The sequence below is a fragment of the Homo sapiens genome, chromosome 1, assembly GCF_000001405.40.
Source record: "Homo sapiens chromosome 1, GRCh38.p14 Primary Assembly".
Taxonomy (NCBI): Eukaryota; Metazoa; Chordata; class Mammalia; order Primates; family Hominidae; genus Homo; species Homo sapiens.
This window is the reverse complement of record NC_000001.11, coordinates 149,153,234-149,169,650: the sequence shown is the minus strand read 5'-3', so window position 1 is coordinate 149,169,650 and position 16,417 is coordinate 149,153,234. Positions and strand designations below refer to the sequence as shown.

At 41.5% G+C, this 16,417-nt stretch overlaps 1 protein-coding gene and 1 pseudogene across 1 annotated transcript, besides 1 other annotated feature; one reads left to right on the top strand and one right to left on the bottom strand.

Annotated features, from left to right (window-relative positions):
* Positions 1-5,469: 5,469 nt before the first annotated feature.
* LOC124904581 (uncharacterized) lies at positions 5,470-13,595 on the bottom strand. Its single transcript, XM_047439510.1, has 4 exons — positions 13,560-13,595; positions 10,725-10,799; positions 6,308-6,909; positions 5,470-5,764 (listed from the first exon to the last, which is right to left on the bottom strand). The coding sequence occupies exons 1-4, from the start codon at positions 13,593-13,595 to the stop codon at positions 5,653-5,655; spliced, it is 825 nt and encodes a 274-aa protein (XP_047295466.1). The 3' UTR covers positions 5,470-5,652.
* RNVU1-24 (RNA, variant U1 small nuclear 24) lies at positions 6,707-6,868 on the top strand (annotated as a pseudogene).
* Positions 8,745-8,908: a silencer, noted in NCBI's record as "fragment chr1:144536074-144536237 (GRCh37/hg19 assembly coordinates)". NCBI's record gives its function as "represses an EF-1alpha promoter that drives an FKBP-Casp9 reporter gene in an ReSE screen in HepG2 liver carcinoma cells {active_cell/tissue: HepG2}" and the evidence as "EXISTENCE:reporter gene assay evidence [ECO:0000049][PMID:32094911]".
* Positions 13,596-16,417: the final 2,822 nt, after the last annotated feature.

Sequence of the window (16,417 nt, the reverse complement as noted above, 5' to 3'; positions counted from 1 at the left end):
ACCTCAGCCTCCCGAGTAGCTGGGACCACAGGTGCATGCCACAATGCCCAGCTAATTCTTTGATTTTTTTTTTTGTAGAGAGGACATCTTGCTGTGTTTTCCAGGCTGGACCTGAATGAACTTCTGGGCTCAATCAATCCTTCCACCTCAGCCTAACATTTACACTGGGAGCAGAGATGCATTTGGAGTAGGTGATGATTTTGGAATGCTTTAGAAGCAACATAGGTATCTGATTTCATCAGGTCAAGCCATCAAAAATGACCAATAAATCTCTGACCTCTTAGAAGCAATTTGAAGACCCAAATTTTGGCCATCATCAAAATTCGTGTTCATTCAAAATTAGACATTCTGGAGAGCAAGGACAATCATTTTGCTGATGCTGCAGCTAAGAATGCAGCTCTGAAGGTGACATCAGACACAGAACTCCTCGAAATGACCTTGCTGACTTATGACCCATTGAAGACTTCATTAGAAGTACAAGTGGGCTGGGCATGGTGGCTCATGCCTGTAATCCCAGCACTTTGGGAGGCCAAGGCTGGTGGATCACCTGAGGTCAGGAGTTTGAGACCAGCCTGGCCAACATGGTGAAATCCTGTCTCTACTAAAAATACAAAAATTAGCTGGTGTGGTGACACATGTCTATAATCCCTGCTACTTGGGAGGCAGAGGCATGAGAATTGCTTGAACCTGGGAGGCGGAGGTTGCAGTGAGGTGAGATTGCACCACTGCACTCCAGCCTGGGTGACAGAGCAAGACTCTGGCAAAAAAAAAAAAAGAAGCATAAGTGGGAGCTCCCAAGCAGGAGAGGGATCTCTGGAAGGATAAAGGGAACAAATTTCTTCCAGAAACAGTCATATGGTATGGGCCCAATGATACACTGATCTATCCCTTAGGCTTCAATTACCCTTTTACAGTACTTCATAAGCTGACTCATTGGAATTCAGACAAAATGTTGGCATGGGGAAAGCAATGGTATTGAAAATCATTGCCTATGATTGCAGAAAATGTTTAGTCTTGCCATACTGTCTGTCCCAAACATAATCCTGGAAAACCCCTTCATGGGTCACAGGGACATTTTGCCTTTGGGACCCTTCGAGACATGGCAGTTAGACTTTATCCAGCTGTCTCCATCTCAGGGTCACAGATACTTTCTGGTGCTAATTTGTATATGCTCACTGGGGTGAGCATTTCCATGCCGATGAGCCACAGCCCAAGTAGTAGGTAGATTGTGATTAGAAAAGGTAATTCCTCATGGGGGGTGCCATCTGAACTCCATAGAAACCGAGGAACACACTTTGTTGGTCAGGTAATTTGATCCATTTGTAACATTTTTGCCTAAGTCCCAACATTTCCATTGTGCCTGTCACCCCTAATCCTCTGGGCCGATGGAATGCACTAATGATACAATAAAAACTCAATTGGCAAAGCTAACAGAAGTTTTTAACCTTTCTTGGACAAGGATCTCCCACTGGTTGTGGAAAATGTCCACACTCTCCCTCTTTGAAATAATAACAGGAAGACCCTTGCAGTGGTTAGATGAAGGCGCTTATGAATCTGCACTTCTTAAAGGTGACATTCTCCATTACTGCTAAGATCTCACAGAACTTACTAAGAACTCTACATTAACAAAGAATTCCATTCATAATGAACTCCTGGGAGATGAAAATATCAAAAATCTTGGCCTATAAACTGGAGATGTTGTTGTTTACTGGAAACAACATCAAATAAAATATTCTCCCCAAGACTGTTGGAAGGGACCACATCAGCTATTATTATTACTTTATATATTTTTTTGGAGATGGGATCTCATTCTATTCCCCAAGCCAGAATGCAGTGGCACAATCATGACTCACTGTAGCCTTGAACTCCTGGGCTCAAGCCACCCTTCTGCCTCAACCTTCCAAATATTTGGGACCACAGGCATAGGCCACTGCACCTAACTGACGACAGGTATTACTGACCAATCTGTGCCAGTAAACTTAAGGGCGTTGACACATGGATTCATGTTTCTCTTGTAAAAGGCAACCCTACCAGAGTGGACATCTGTCAGTGGAGATTTTCACTTAGAGGTAACTCACAATCTTCCTGACAGAGATGGCAAGTAGCTGACATCTGGTGTAGTCCACTTTCACCCAAGATACTGGCCTGTATAATCAGTTACAATTCCAGTGCTGACCGTGCCTGAGAGAGTTAGTCTCTTTTTTGCTGACTGGAATACATACACCATTAGGGCTCCTTTAAGTTGTAGGGGTTGTCTCTTGGTGGTTTTGGTAAAATCACCCTATATGCATATTCTCTTAAGATATGACACACTACTCCTCTTGCGTGTATGTGTATATACATATACATACATACATACATAGCAGAATACCTGTGATCAGATTTCTGTTTTACTGTCCCTAATTAATTTGATTACAGCAGGGAGGGATAATTCTCTGATTAGAATCTCACAAACCATTACCTCTGTGGGAAATTTGACAAGGTTCCAGGTTTGCCACTCAAAACCACAAACCACTTTTGACCATAATGACCCATTGGTACATCCTGTGCTAAATTTCACCTGTATTCCTCCTGATTGCACTCACGATGCAACTCAGGGTCATATCAAGCAAAACCTGTTTATCTAATCTGTCTGACTCACCCTAACCTTCCTGCCGCACGTCTCAGTTTAACCCATCATAATCGTATTGTCAAAATAACTGCCTGTAATCCCAGCACTTTGGGAGGCCAAGGCAGAAGGATCACTTGAGCACAGGGGTTTGAGACTAGCCTGGGCAAAATGGTGAAACACTGACTCTATAAAATATATACAAATTAGCTGGGTGTGGTGGTGCCCACCTGTAGTCCCAGCTACTCAGGAGCATGAGGTGAGAGGATGACTTGAGCTAAGGAGTTCAAGCCTGCAGCGAACCCTGATGACGCCACTGCACTCCAGCCTGGGCAACAGAGTGAGACCCTGTCTCAAAAAATAAATAAATAAGCTGCGTGTGGTGGTGTGTGCCTGTAGGCCCAGCTGCTTGGGAGGATGAGCCATTGAGCCTTGGAGGTCAAGAGGTCAAGGCTGTACTGAGCTGTGATCTTGTCACTGAATTCCAGCCTGGGAGACAGAGTCCTTGTCTTAAAAAGTAATTATAATAAAAATAAAAAGTACAAAACCAACCAAACAAAAAATTGTTTCTTCACTCTGAAATAACAGTGGTTAACACCATGATGCCACTGGAAAGTTAAAAGAAAAACACTCCCTCCTGCTATCAGGATCCAACCTGCCCTCTTGCTCTAAATTTCTGACCCATGGTTTAAATGCCCAAAAGCTGATGTACTCAAATTATAGCGCACTTACCTGTTCGGCGTTTATTTTTGTCTCTTGAAAAGATCACCATCCATGGCCCTATAAATGTCGAAGGGCATGGAATGATGAAGTGCAATGTCATTATTGTTATGTATCTCTCATCGTTTTACTTCTGGGAAAACTAATTTCATGGTATTCTGAAGAGTAGAGATGATTCAATAAGTGACAGCAGCTGTAGACTTAACTGAGGCCCCTCTCTCTCTCTCTCTTTTTTTTTTTTTTTGCCACTCTATGATGCCCTTTTTTTTTTAAGACCGAGTCTCACTCTGTCACCCAGGCTGGAGTGCAGTGGTGTGATATTAGCTCAGTGCAGCCTCAAACTCCCAGGCTCAAGCAGTCCTCCTACCTCAGCCTCCTGAATAGCTGGGACTAAGGTGTGTGCCACTACACCTGGCTAACTTTGTATTTTTTGTAGAGATGGGGTTTCACCATGTTGCCCAGGCTGGTTTTGAACTCCTGGACTCAGGCAATCCACCTATCTTGGCCTCCTGAAGTGCTGGGACTACAGGTGTGAGCCACCATGCCTGGCTGTAATGCCCTTTCAATTGGACTTTTGGGCATTCTTAAAAATTCCTCAGTGAGGTGGCTTCTTTCCTCCCCTGTCCCCTGCTTGGGACAGGACTATCCGGGAATGAGCCTTTCTGGCAAAGAGGGACACCCTTGACTTAGCTTTTGATCATCGATGCTTTCAAGAAGAAAGATTAAAAAAACTTTTTATCTGAGGAATGTGAGCCCTTTCAAATGATCAGGCCCAGAGAGACGTTAAATCGAGACAGCAACCACTTTCCGCTCCTTCCTTTTGAGCTGCGCTGAGCTATGTATTCATCCGTTGAAACTGCTTGCTATTGCCTCAAGTAGCTGTAAATTAACCTAATAATGCCACACCAATCCCTATACCCCCATACCCTATAACTTAACAACATATAGCCAATCACCAAGCAATGTTATTTCTGTAAACCAATGAGAATTCCTGATAGGCACCTATCAGCCCACTGTCTGTCCCTGCTTTTGAACTTTAAAAACCTGCTTGTGGGCAGGGTGCGGTGGCTCACGCTTGTAATCCCAGCACTTTGGGAGGCCGAGGCAGGCGGATCATGAGGTCAGGAGATCGAGACCATCCTGGCTAACACGGTGAAACCCCGTCTCTATTAAAAAAATACAAAAAAAATTAGCTGGGCGTGGTGGCGGGTGCCTGTAATCCCAGCTACTAGGGAGGCTGAGGCAGGAGAATGGCGAGAACCCGGGAGGCGGAGCAGAGTTCGCGCCACTGCACTCCAGCCTGGGCGACAGAGTGAGACTCCGTCTCAAAATAAATAAATAAATAAAAAATAAAAAATAAAAAATAAAAACCTGCTTGTGACAAAGACCAAAGGGAGCTCAGATCCAAGCTTCCTTGGTGTGAGTCTTCCAGGCAGTTGTCTTCATGTTGACTCAAGTAAACTCTAAATTATATTTTGTGCTTCAGCCTCCTTCTTTTAGGTCAACATGTTCAACAACAGTAGAATAAATACATAAGTTAATGTATATTCCTACAAAGGAATACACGTAGAACCAAATAACCATATGAATAACATGAAAAATTCATAGACATAGGACTGAGTGAAAGAAGTCAGACCTATGCCTCTGCTTCTGCAACCGCCTTTGCAAAAATTACAACTGGGACAATTACCACAGTGAAAGAGATCTGATCTAACTGATTCCATCTTGCTTCTAACGTACAAGCTGTCCTTGTTGATTGCTGGGCACAGGCCGAAATAACTTTGGGAGGAAATTAGTTTATGGTTTAGCTGTGAAACAAAGATGATAATATCCCTGTCCGGAAGCAAACCCCCTTCCTGCCTGGGGACTAGACTGCCTTTGCCGGACTAACAAATTAGCCACGAGATTAGAAATTATGGTTTAGGAGTCATGTAGCCTCTGGCTGCAAGATTCTAAACCTCCCCAAATTGTTCCTGGAGATCACATCGTTATTGGAAAACCTAAGATCAGTGCTTGAGATATTTTGCCGACCCTGCACTCAGTGGATCAGCTGGCACCAGCTAGACTGATAACCTGGCTCAGCTGGTCTTGTGGCCCCCAAGCAGGAACTGACCCAGCACAAGACCACAGCTTCAGCTCCCTGTGATTTCATCTCCGACCTGGCCAAGCAGAACTCTCAATTCACCGGCCCCCAATCACCAAATAAAGAGTGCAGCTCTTTATTGCAATTCCCCTGTGTCGAAAAATTGGCTCTGTCTAGGCAGCAGGCAGGGTGTACCTGTTGGGCAGTAACACTCCCCCCAAAACCCACTACAGACTGTGACTCAGCTTATATGAAAGTAAAGGGCAGGAAAAACTTGCCTGATAGATTTGCAGAGACGGGGGTGGAAACCATTAATAAGTCTGTGGAGTATTCTCAGAGTTTGGTGTTGTAGTCTACATATTAAAAGTAATCAGTTAAACACCTGAAATAAAACTTCTCCCAAATATTTTTGCCAAATTTGGATGACTGTGTTTCTGTCTTCGCAGCATATAAAGTGTTAACATGAGGTAAGCGCTAAGGTCTAGAGAAGGCAGTGAAGAGATGACAAACTCCAGCACCATGCCTGAGTGTCCAGTGTGCTCTGCTGGGGCAGCACATTTTTGTACATTGCTGTATCTGAAAAAAACCCTACAAGATTCATGAAACTGGACGACCGTCTTTATAATACTCCTAGTGATAAAACAAGTAAGGATGGCTGGTTTGCAGTCATCTGAGCAGCCTCTCTAGTTTCATAGATACGGTTTCTCTCTGATATTGAACGACTTCCAAATGTCAAGCGAAATGCTACATCACAAGGATAACCGTATGTGAAAACCGTTTTTCTTTGTAATCCTAAACTTTCTAGTCTGAGCTTTAAAAGCCATTATTTGAAGAAAAGCGCACAGGCTCCAGCTGGCCGCCAAAGGGGTCCTTTGCATCACAGGCTAAGAACCTACTTCTTTGGGAGAGACCAGGGACGGGGATGGGAGGGAAAGGAGGTAGAGTCAGGTGTCACTTCCTCCGCCCGCTCCCGCAGCTGGTTGGTCGGCCGAGTGGCAGAGGGTGGGGCGGAAGAGCAGACGGGGACGGGAAAGGCGCTGTCGGTGACATCACAGATAGGGCGATTCCTATGCAGAGGAGGCAGCTCAGGGGCTGCTGCTTCGCCACGAAAGATTTCTCGTGCTGTGGGAGCTAGTCCAGGACCTCCGGTTGGACGTGATAGTCCCAGCTGTGTGTCAGGGCTAGGAGGACTTGAGGCGGCATGGGGGCGGGGTGGGGGAATGCGCGGGGCAAGTGACCGTGCGTGTAAGGGGTGAGGCGTATGGAGCTGTGGCAGGGCGGAGGTGCGTTCATTCGTACTTACGTAACAGGAGAAAATACGGCCATGAAGTTGATGTTTCTCGGGGGCGATTTCTCCATTGTACTCAGTATGTGCTGACTGACTCCTGTTACTTCCACATGTGGGGAAACTGGACTGTAATTTGTGGTGGTGGGGAATTGCGTTCGCGCTTTCTTCTGGAGGTTGTAGTGCAAAAAGCAGTTTGTCTACCAAGTGATACTTTCAGCTTTTACAAATGCTGAACAATATCCGTGGTGTGTTTTCATGTCACCTCCTCTCCCTTCTTTGTTAGAAAAAAATGGAAGAGCACGTGGATGTTTTGAGATGAGAAGAGGTGCGTTCACCACCTTCACCTCCGTGTAGGCTTGTTATTAAGGGAAAGGGAACAAAGGAGTCTCACTTATGTAAGATGACCTTACATGAGAAGAAGAAATTCGAGCTGGTGAAAAGAAAGAAATTCAATTTCAGCCGGGCGCGGTGGTTGACACCTGTAATTCCAGCACTTTGGGAGGCCGAGGCAGGCGGATCACGAGGTCAGGAGATCAAGACCATCGTGGCTAACACGGTGAAACCCCGTCTCTACTAAAAAATACAAAAAAATTAGTTAGGTGTCGTGGCGGGTGCCTGTAGTCCCAGTTACTCCGGAAGCTGAGGCAGGAGAATGGCGTGAACCTTGGAGGCGGAGGTTGCAGTGAGCCGAGATCACACCACTGCACTCTAGCCTGGGGGACAGAGCGAGACTCCGTCTCAAAAAAAAAAAAAAAAAAAAAAAGAATTCAATTTCAACAGTCTAATATCCTGGCATGCAAGAGAGAAATTCTAAGACTGTCTCAACTGTAGAAATGTTCAGGGAGAAAAAAAAATAGATGATTATTTATTCTGGTTCATTCATTGTCTCGTTGAGTTTGTCAGATGCCAGGTGAGGTGCCTTACATGTGTTCATAACCTCAAGACATAAAAGGGAAGGAATTTTAGAATGATTCAATGATATCACTGTTTTGCCTAATAAGCAAATAATTCAGTAAGAGACACTTATTAACAAATCTAAGAATAAAGCTTCCTTTTTAATCACAAAATTGCCTTTCTTCACATTATCTTTCTTTACATTCTTTGACAAAGTACCCCAACCCATCAATATTGTCTGTCTTATCCAAACTGAAGGATGATAATCCAGATTTAAGAAAATATCTATCAAAATAATGACAACATTGAGCATGTACTCAGTATCTGCTGGGTATAGGGCACAACAAATATCTCTCGAGTTAGTACCAGGCCCTGTGCTGAGGCCTCCACTCCTCTCTAGCTCATGTGCACTGAGCAGCGAGTGCCACTGGCTCCTTGAAAGCTGCTCAGGCACCACCGTTTTTAATTCCCATGAGAGGTGCTGTGTGCACCCCAGTGGACAGATGAGGGAATGGAGAGCAGGTGGATACCCTTGGGTAGAGAGCCACACATGGTTGGATCCAGCTCTAGAAGGACTGACCCCTTCTCTACCCGACTCGAGAAAGCCCACTGTCAATGATCTCGACCTCTACTTTATGTCTCCTATTTCTGGAACGGAAATGACCTCGTGCATATTTCAAATTCTCCAGCTTTTCCTTGTCTTTCCTCCATCTTGTCAGTACTCAAATAGGAAAATGATATATACATATATGTTGATCATGTACACTTAATTTCCTAGATGTAATTAAGTATAAATTTCAGGCAAAATGCTAACTTGAATATATTTTTATGTTAAAACTTTTCCATATTTCATTCACTTATCATTAAGAAAGCAAAACCTTTGCACAAAATATTGTGCTAGCCTTTGCCAGGAGACAGAAATGAGGAGTCATGGGCTGTGTTCTTCAGGAGTGTTGAGTTCTCCCGAGAGTGTGAGAATACACAGGTAAGCCCAATAGAAAGCAAAAGTCAGGGCCGGGCATGGTGGCTTATGCCTGTATTCCCAACACTTTAGGAGGCCGAGGTGGGCAGATAACTTGAGGTCAGGAGTTAAGAGACCAGCATGGCCAACATGGTGAAACCCCATCTCTACTAAACACACACACACACACACACACACACACACACACACACACACAAATTAGCTGGGTGTGGTGGGATATACCTATAATCCCAGCTACTTGGGAGGCTGAGGGAGGAGAATCACTTGAACCAAGGAGGCAAGGGTTGCAGGAGGCAGTGATTGTGCCACTGCACTCCAGCCTGGGTGACAGAGCAAGACTCTTGTCTCAAACAAGCACACAAACCAAAAGCAAAAGTCAGATGACTAAGGCAGTGATGATTGCCACATCCTGTGCAGGGCAGCCTCTGGGATTTGTCTCAAAACACACTCGATCTAGTTCTTGACGCCCATTGAGATGGATGCTAGGCTATAGGCAGTTACATAAGATCTTTGAGCCTCAGTTTCCTTATCTCTGAAGTGAGAAAAGTAATATTGATATTGTTAAAAAGGCATGAGATTTAGATATAAGTAAAATACTTGTATTTTACTTAGTACCTACTTAATCTTCATGAGTGAGTCAAAGAAAGCAAGTAGAATTAGGCAGGGTTGTGGGGATGGGGAGAGGCAAGCTGTGCTAAAGACGGGAAATGGGCAGATAGAATGCAGGGCTAAACACAGATACCTACAACCTGCAGCAGAGGCAACTTACTGAGCTTAACATAGAGAATACAAGTCACTTTAAAATGTACAGCTCTATGTTACTTTTCACCCCACAATAAAATCGGTCCTTACCTAGAAAAAAGTAAAGATAAAAATGAAAGAAAAGAGGAGTGGGGGAAGTAACATACCTGTGTACACATTCAGACCTTTGGCATGCTTACATCAGAGAAAGAACACTTTTGCAAGTTTTCTTGGCACAACGAATGGTAATAATTTTTAAGTCTATTGTGTCTGTCATCTATTCATATATTCTGAAACTGCTGACCTCTCATTGACAACAGTATGCCTCTTTTTCCAAGATTAGAAATTTTAAAATGTAATTGCTGATAATAAACAATGGACATTATGCTAAGCGAAGTGAGCCAGTCAAAAAAATAAACAAACAGACAAACAAATAAATACTACGTGATTCAACTCATTTTAGGTTGGTGCGAAGTTATTGTGGTTTTTGCCATTAAAAGTAATATAAAGTACCTGGAATAGTCAAATGTATAGCAAGAGAAAATAGAATGGTGCTTCCCAGGGGCTGGAGGGAAGGAGAAATGGGGTTGTTGTTCAGTGGGTGCAGGGTTTGAATTTTGCAAGATGAAAGGGTTCTGTGGCTGGATGGTGGTCATGGCTTCACAGCACTGTCAACGTGCATGATGCCACTGACCTGCGCACATCTTAAGTGGTTAATGATCAATTTTATGTCATATGTATTTTTTCACATTTGAAAACACTTTTAAAACCATTCTTGTTAGTATTTAAAGAACTGCAAGATAAAAAAGAGACATTTTTAAAGTGTGAAGTCGTGTGCACAGGTTCATCGTCTAGGTGTGTACTCATGAAAACAAATCTCTTGTGTTGCAGATAGCGCTCGTTAAGGTTGATTTCTGCATATCAGTGAGAGTTCAGTGATCTTACATTCAACATAAATATGACAACTTTACAAACATCCCCCCTTTCATCCACTGAGTGAGTTTATCAGGAAAACCCAACAAAATCCTTCCAGGCCTCCCTGGGGGAAGGTACACAGTCCCCTGCTCTGGAGGAGGACATGGAGGCTCACGCTGGTTAAGGGAGTTTTCCAAAGTCACCAGCAGCAAGGAACCTTCTGAAACTGCTGACAAATCCGTGCTTTTCCCACGTCCACTTACATTATTTAGGCAAGACCCACTTGGGAATCTATTTTTTCAAGGCATGATCGGGACTAGGTTCAGGATGGTAGAGCAGGGCTGTTTTTGAAAGGCGGTCTCTTTCTCTTTGCACCAAGCTTTCCGTAAGTGTGTGGGTGACCCTCCCAACTTCCTCCTCTCTCCCACAACCACCGCCCTCGCTGCTTCTCTCAGCTTCTCTCCCCGACACCTGGATGACTCCTCTTGGTTACCTGGGGGCTGGCATTGTGGGAGGCAGCCGACGCCAGTGGGTGCTGCTGGGATCCCTGCCCACACCCAGCAGTTGCCTGGAGATGGAGGTATGCCAGGTATGTGGGCCAACAGCTGCAGAGTTGCCACTGACAGGCCGGAGGAGGATTCTTTGTCAGTGACCGCACCAGCCCGAGCCCCTGCCAGCTGTCCCACTCAGTATGCCCTGGCTTCCAGGGCCCCAGCCAAGGAAGGGTGTGGACATGTGATACAGTGGTGGCCACAAGGCAGGGGTCAAGGGGAAGGCAGGCCGATACTAGCAACAGAGGAAATGACACTTCAGAAGCGTCCTCTCTTACAAACAAGAGCAACTGTGTGTGTCCCAATGAGTATGGGAAGCTCAGTCTCCTAACATCATTCAAGGGTCTCCAAGTGACTGTGCATACAGTTTTAAAAATATCACCGAACTTGTTTTTCTTACCCCAGCCATTTTTTATAACTATATCTAGGGAATGGGTTGGTTTACTCTAAAGAGCAAGGAACTAAAGAAAAGATAAACATGGAAACTTCAGGTTTTCCAGAATCTTGCATATTTCCCTCCTGTTTCCCTATTATAAATTACATTTAAAATGGAGAGATATGCAGTTTAAGCCAAATGTTTTGAGTCATGAAAACAAGTGAAACTCTTTTGCCTGTTCATGATAAACCTTCAGATTTGGTGACTTCTTTCCACCAAGGCAAGATAGGTTTCACTGGGGGGAACTGAACTGGTGTGGTGTTTTCTGCCTTCAGCCATCTGTGTGTACACTGTGACAATATGGTTCTGTGCTGGATGAGACGCCTACTATTTTTTCATCTCACTAAAGAGCCTCAAGTTTCTCAGCTACAACCTGGAGGAAGTGTCTGAAAGCTGATTTTCTGATGCCCAGCCCCAGGCCTCCTTTTCCACTGCACAAGATCAGACCTGCTTTTCTCTAAATCAGAATTAGGCACGCCACTCCAGATGAAAGAGCCCTGTCGTTGAAATGCCTTTCTTTGGCCCACACTAAGTATAATTTCTGCTCCCGTTTGAACTCAAATATCACATGTATATTTTAACAGCTGCTGCTCTCTAAGCAAACTGATTCACATAGAAAATCCAGGATTGTGACTACTTATTTTTTCCTCTCTACGCATGAAACAGATTCCCTGGAAACACAGTTATCTTAAGTAGCTGGAATTGTCTAACTTCGGTTACTTTATTATTTACAAATCAGCCAGGTGAGAACAAGAAAGTGAAAAGCAGGAAACAAGATAGGCAGAGAAACAAAGGGCTCGATTGCAAGAGCAGCAAGATGCCTGAGCAGACCTACAGGGTTCTCAGGGCTGCAGCAAAAATCAAAGAACAGTCGTGGTCTCAGGACTCGCCATAGATCAGACCACGGCTTCCAACCATGCCACAGGCTGTCTGTGTGTTCCCTGCACACCATTCATTTTTGTCCTTCTATTTTAATGATCTGAAACCAAGTTTGGGCCATGTGTAGACAGGCCATTCGGAGGAGGCTTCGGGAAGGAGGGTGCATCTGAGACTAGTTGTAAAAGATGAGGAGGATTTCCACAATCGCTCAAAGGAAAGGGGCATTTCAGAAAGAGAGAAGAGCACGTTCACGTGAGCCCAGATAGGAGCACGGGGCACACGCAGGAAACTTCCTGATGCTGGAGTTCATGCGCACGGTGGACGCAGGCTTGGCAGCCCGCAAGGCAGAAGGGGAGGTGGTGCGGGAACCGTGGCTGCTCTAGCAAACTTGAGCTCCATTCTGCAGGCTCAAGGAGACATGGAGTAAGAGGAAGGACTCCTTGGGTGCATTGTTCATGGGAGGACAAATTAGAAAGGGGATTATCTCATGGCAGGCAGCCACTTCCAAGTAGGGAAGTTGGAGAACTTGTTGTCAGGTGGAAGAAAAGAGAAGACCCTTGAAAAGTCATCCAGGAATGGGTGTGCACAAACATGGAGTGTGTTCCTCATGCCGTAATTCTGATCCAGGTCCTTGACTTAACTGCATTGCCATTAAGCTTGTGAAAGGAGGGGAAAGCCGGTACCAGACATTGGTTATATGTCCAATATCTGTTTGACTCTTTGTTAGAGGTATTACCTAAGTTATCTTACAATACTCTAAAAGCAATTCTACAAAGCCCATTGCTATTTTACAGAAATGAAATCTGAAAATGAAAAGGGTCAAGTAAACTAAGAAGTCTACGCATAACTAAGAAGTGGGGCTGCCTGACCCCAATCCTGCACTCTTGGCTCTTTATGACTTCACTTGTGAGCATACTGAACTCAAAGTGTTCTGGACGTCTCCAGGTAGAGGGCTCTAGGAGGCAGCCGAGTACGTGAGTCTGGAACTTAGGAGAGTTCCAAGCAGGGCTGTGGGTGTGGGATGGGGTGCATGGGAAGGAGGTTGTCAAAGCAAAGCAATGCGCAGCTGCTTAGGGAGGGGGCACAGGAGAGTGGCCTGGCCCTTCTTAGATCATTGTCAACTCAACTTGTCTAAATGGCTTTTATGACCTCAGTTATCACCTGCATTAATTCTGGCCTATGGTATTTTGCAGCTCTTCGGGAAATAGTGATCCTTTGTTTCTGACAAAGTTCTTCTTAAAGGGTTTATTGTCTTATTTACTAGGAATCATGGGGAATAGAGTGTTACACAATGTAATTTTTTCCCTAACAAATAAAGCTTATTTTTATAAATTCCAGGGCTTTTAATTTGAATCATGCTTAACTATTTTTCTATATTTTATTACATTGTTTGCTTCCTCCCTAAAGACAGTATATTTTAGTATTTTCACAGAAAAATGAGAAGCCCTCATTATGAACATACCTGATTAAATTGAGCATTTCCAAGTGATGACCACATCATTGCTCAAGTGTTATGAGGCCACAGGATGAACTACTGCCCCCCGAATGATGCTAGAATGCTGTGCCTTTATTTATTTCATTGGACAACTCATTCAACATATATTTATCAAGTGACTCCTATAAGAGTAACTAAAATAGGATTTCCTGCTTTTGTAGACCTTACACTATAGTTGATTCCATAGTGTCTAGTGTTTCATGAAATTATACAAAATGTCACTAAATCTAAAATGCCATTGGTAATGACATACACTTTTTAATGCACTAATATTAAATAATGCTGAAATTAAGTTATGCTTATCTAATGTAAGATACATTGCAGTTTCAGATACTAAAATTTGAACAAGTAGACAAACGTTTCTCTTGAAATCAGTGAAATCTCTATCTAAATCCCTTAGAATAGGGTTAGCACATAGTATTCCAGGAAAGCAAAGCTCTAATTATTATTGTTGGATTGTACCCAGATTATGTTACTATTTAAGTTTCTACTTTATGTAAAGCACTTTTTCATATGGATATTCTTTATCCTAACAATAGTCCATTTGTTACACCAGAAGTAACACCAGATACTTCTGAATAATAATGGCAGTTAAATCTGTGGTTTTGTGGAATTTTGCTTATATACGTCACTGTTGATTCAAACAATATAGCAGCTCTAAGAACATCTGTGCCTCCAGCCTCTGCATTTCAACCATGAGAGCGTCATTTCTCTCCATGATGCTTAAATTAAAAATCTAAATATTTGGTAAATTTTACGCTTTTCTAGAATATGTTTTGTTAATATTATATTCTAGTAAAAACAAAAAATGTTCTTAGCCTGAGAAAGATTTTACAGAAAAGCTTTAGTAAACATTACACTTCATAATGTACCTGTACTACACTAAATGTATAATGTACTTATACTAAAGAGTGAATTATATTATCTTTGAGTTTAGGAATAAGATGAGTAAATATGTAAATGTAATAATGAGAAACTATTAAAATGCAGTAGTTTCATTCAATATGATTATTTAAATAGAAAATCCAAAAATTTGTACATGAATTAAATTAATAAACAAATTCAATGAGTTTACTAGATACAAAATTCATTGTCCAAAGGAATTGTATTTCTTTACACCAGCAATAATGTTAAAAATAATAATTTATAAGATTAAGTTCATATTTCATGAAAAGTGTAAAATTTAAGAATAAATTTAAAAATAGTGTACGAAGTCTTTATATACAATAATATAAAACTTTTGTACAATAATAACATCAAAATGAGGGGTGATATGTACTACATTCATAGGCTAAATGTCTCACTTTTATAATAATGTTAATTCTCAAACATATTTATATTATGCTTGAGTTTGACAAAATTATATACGTTTGACAAAATTCCAATAAATTCCCAATATATTTTGTGGAACTTATAAACTACACAATAAAGGCCAAAACAGTCCTTAAGAAAAACAAGTTGAGAAGACTTGACATATCATGAATGATTTGAAATTTACAAATTTCAGAATTTTTCCCATTGTAATATAAGCATGTAATACTATCACATTTCCCCAAATGGCTACTTTAAGTGCATCCTACAAATTGTGATATATTCTGTTTTTGTTTTCATCTTCGTCCTCTTTGAAATACTTTCTAAGTTCATCTGTGACTTCCTCCTTGACTCAGGAATTTTTAGAAGTGTGTTGTTTCATTTCAGAACATTTGGAAATTATTTATTTCTAGTTTCATTTAGTTGTGCTTAGAGATCATACTGTGCATGATTTCTATTCTTTTTAATGTACTGAGACATGTTTATATAGCCCAGATTATCATCAATTTTAGTGAATGTTTTAAATGTGCAGTTGCTAACAATGTCTTTTATATTGCTGTTTAGTGGACTGTTTTAGAAAAGTCAATCAGGTAAATCTGATTAAGAGTATTGTTTTTCTTCTATCCTTTTGCTGGTTTCTTATCTCATTCTATTAGTTACTGGAAAAAATGGGTTAGAATCTACAATCTCCAACAATAACGGGATATATCCATTTCTTTTTTCTGTTGTATATTTCTTCTTTGTATATTTTAAAGCTCTATTGTTGGGCAATATTTGGTATTGTTGTGTCTTCTTGTTGAATTGACCCTTCTAACATCATGAAATGTTATGCAATTCTGGTAACATTTCTTATTGTAAAACTTACTATTTCTGTCCAAATCTATGCCCTGTCCCTTTATAAAATAATGATGATAACAAATAATACATAATATTTATTGTTTTTTTATCTCCCATTTTTAAAAATTCTGGGGGTTTAGATTATTTGAATTTATATAATTATTGATAAAACTAAAATCAAATCCACCATCTTTCTATTTGTTTTCTACTTGTTCCATCTTGCTTCTTATTTTTATTTTTTAAATTTTTATTTCATCTAGAGTTTACAATACACATCTTTAACTTATCACAGCTCTATGTAGAGTATAAAGAATGTACAGCAGGAGAAGTCAGTTTTTCTCTTCTGTCTTTGCACTACCGTTATCATACATTTTACTTCAAATGCATACATTTAACATGTGCCACAAATCCTATAACACTTTATTGTTTTTGCTTTAAATAATCAATTATCTTTTAAGGAGAAAAAACAAAAAATTTTTACATAATTTTTATATATTTCTGGGACTCTTAATTTCTTTTTTTATAGATCAAATTTTCCTTCTGGTATTATATTTCTTTTACTAAAGAAATTTTCTTTAACACTTATGTAGTGCAAATGTGCTAATAATGAATCAGCTCAGTATTTGTACTGAAAAGTCTTTTTCTTTTTGGAAGACATTTTTGCTGGTTAAAGACTT

What these genes read in the sequence shown, in the direction of transcription:
- LOC124904581 (XM_047439510.1), bottom strand. Translation starts at nt 13,595, where the DNA reads ATGTGGTCATCACTTGGAAATGCTCAATTTAATCAG. An exon ending in CCCACAATGCCAGCCCCCAG is followed by an intron (nt 6,910 to 10,724) that starts GTAACCAAGAGG and finishes AAAAGCTGAAAG; the next exon opens with TATCACTTGGTAGACAAACT. An exon ending in CCCTGGTCTCTCCCAAAGAA is followed by an intron (nt 5,765 to 6,307) that starts GTAGGTTCTTAG and finishes TTTAATATGTAG; the next exon opens with ACTACAACACCAAACTCTGA.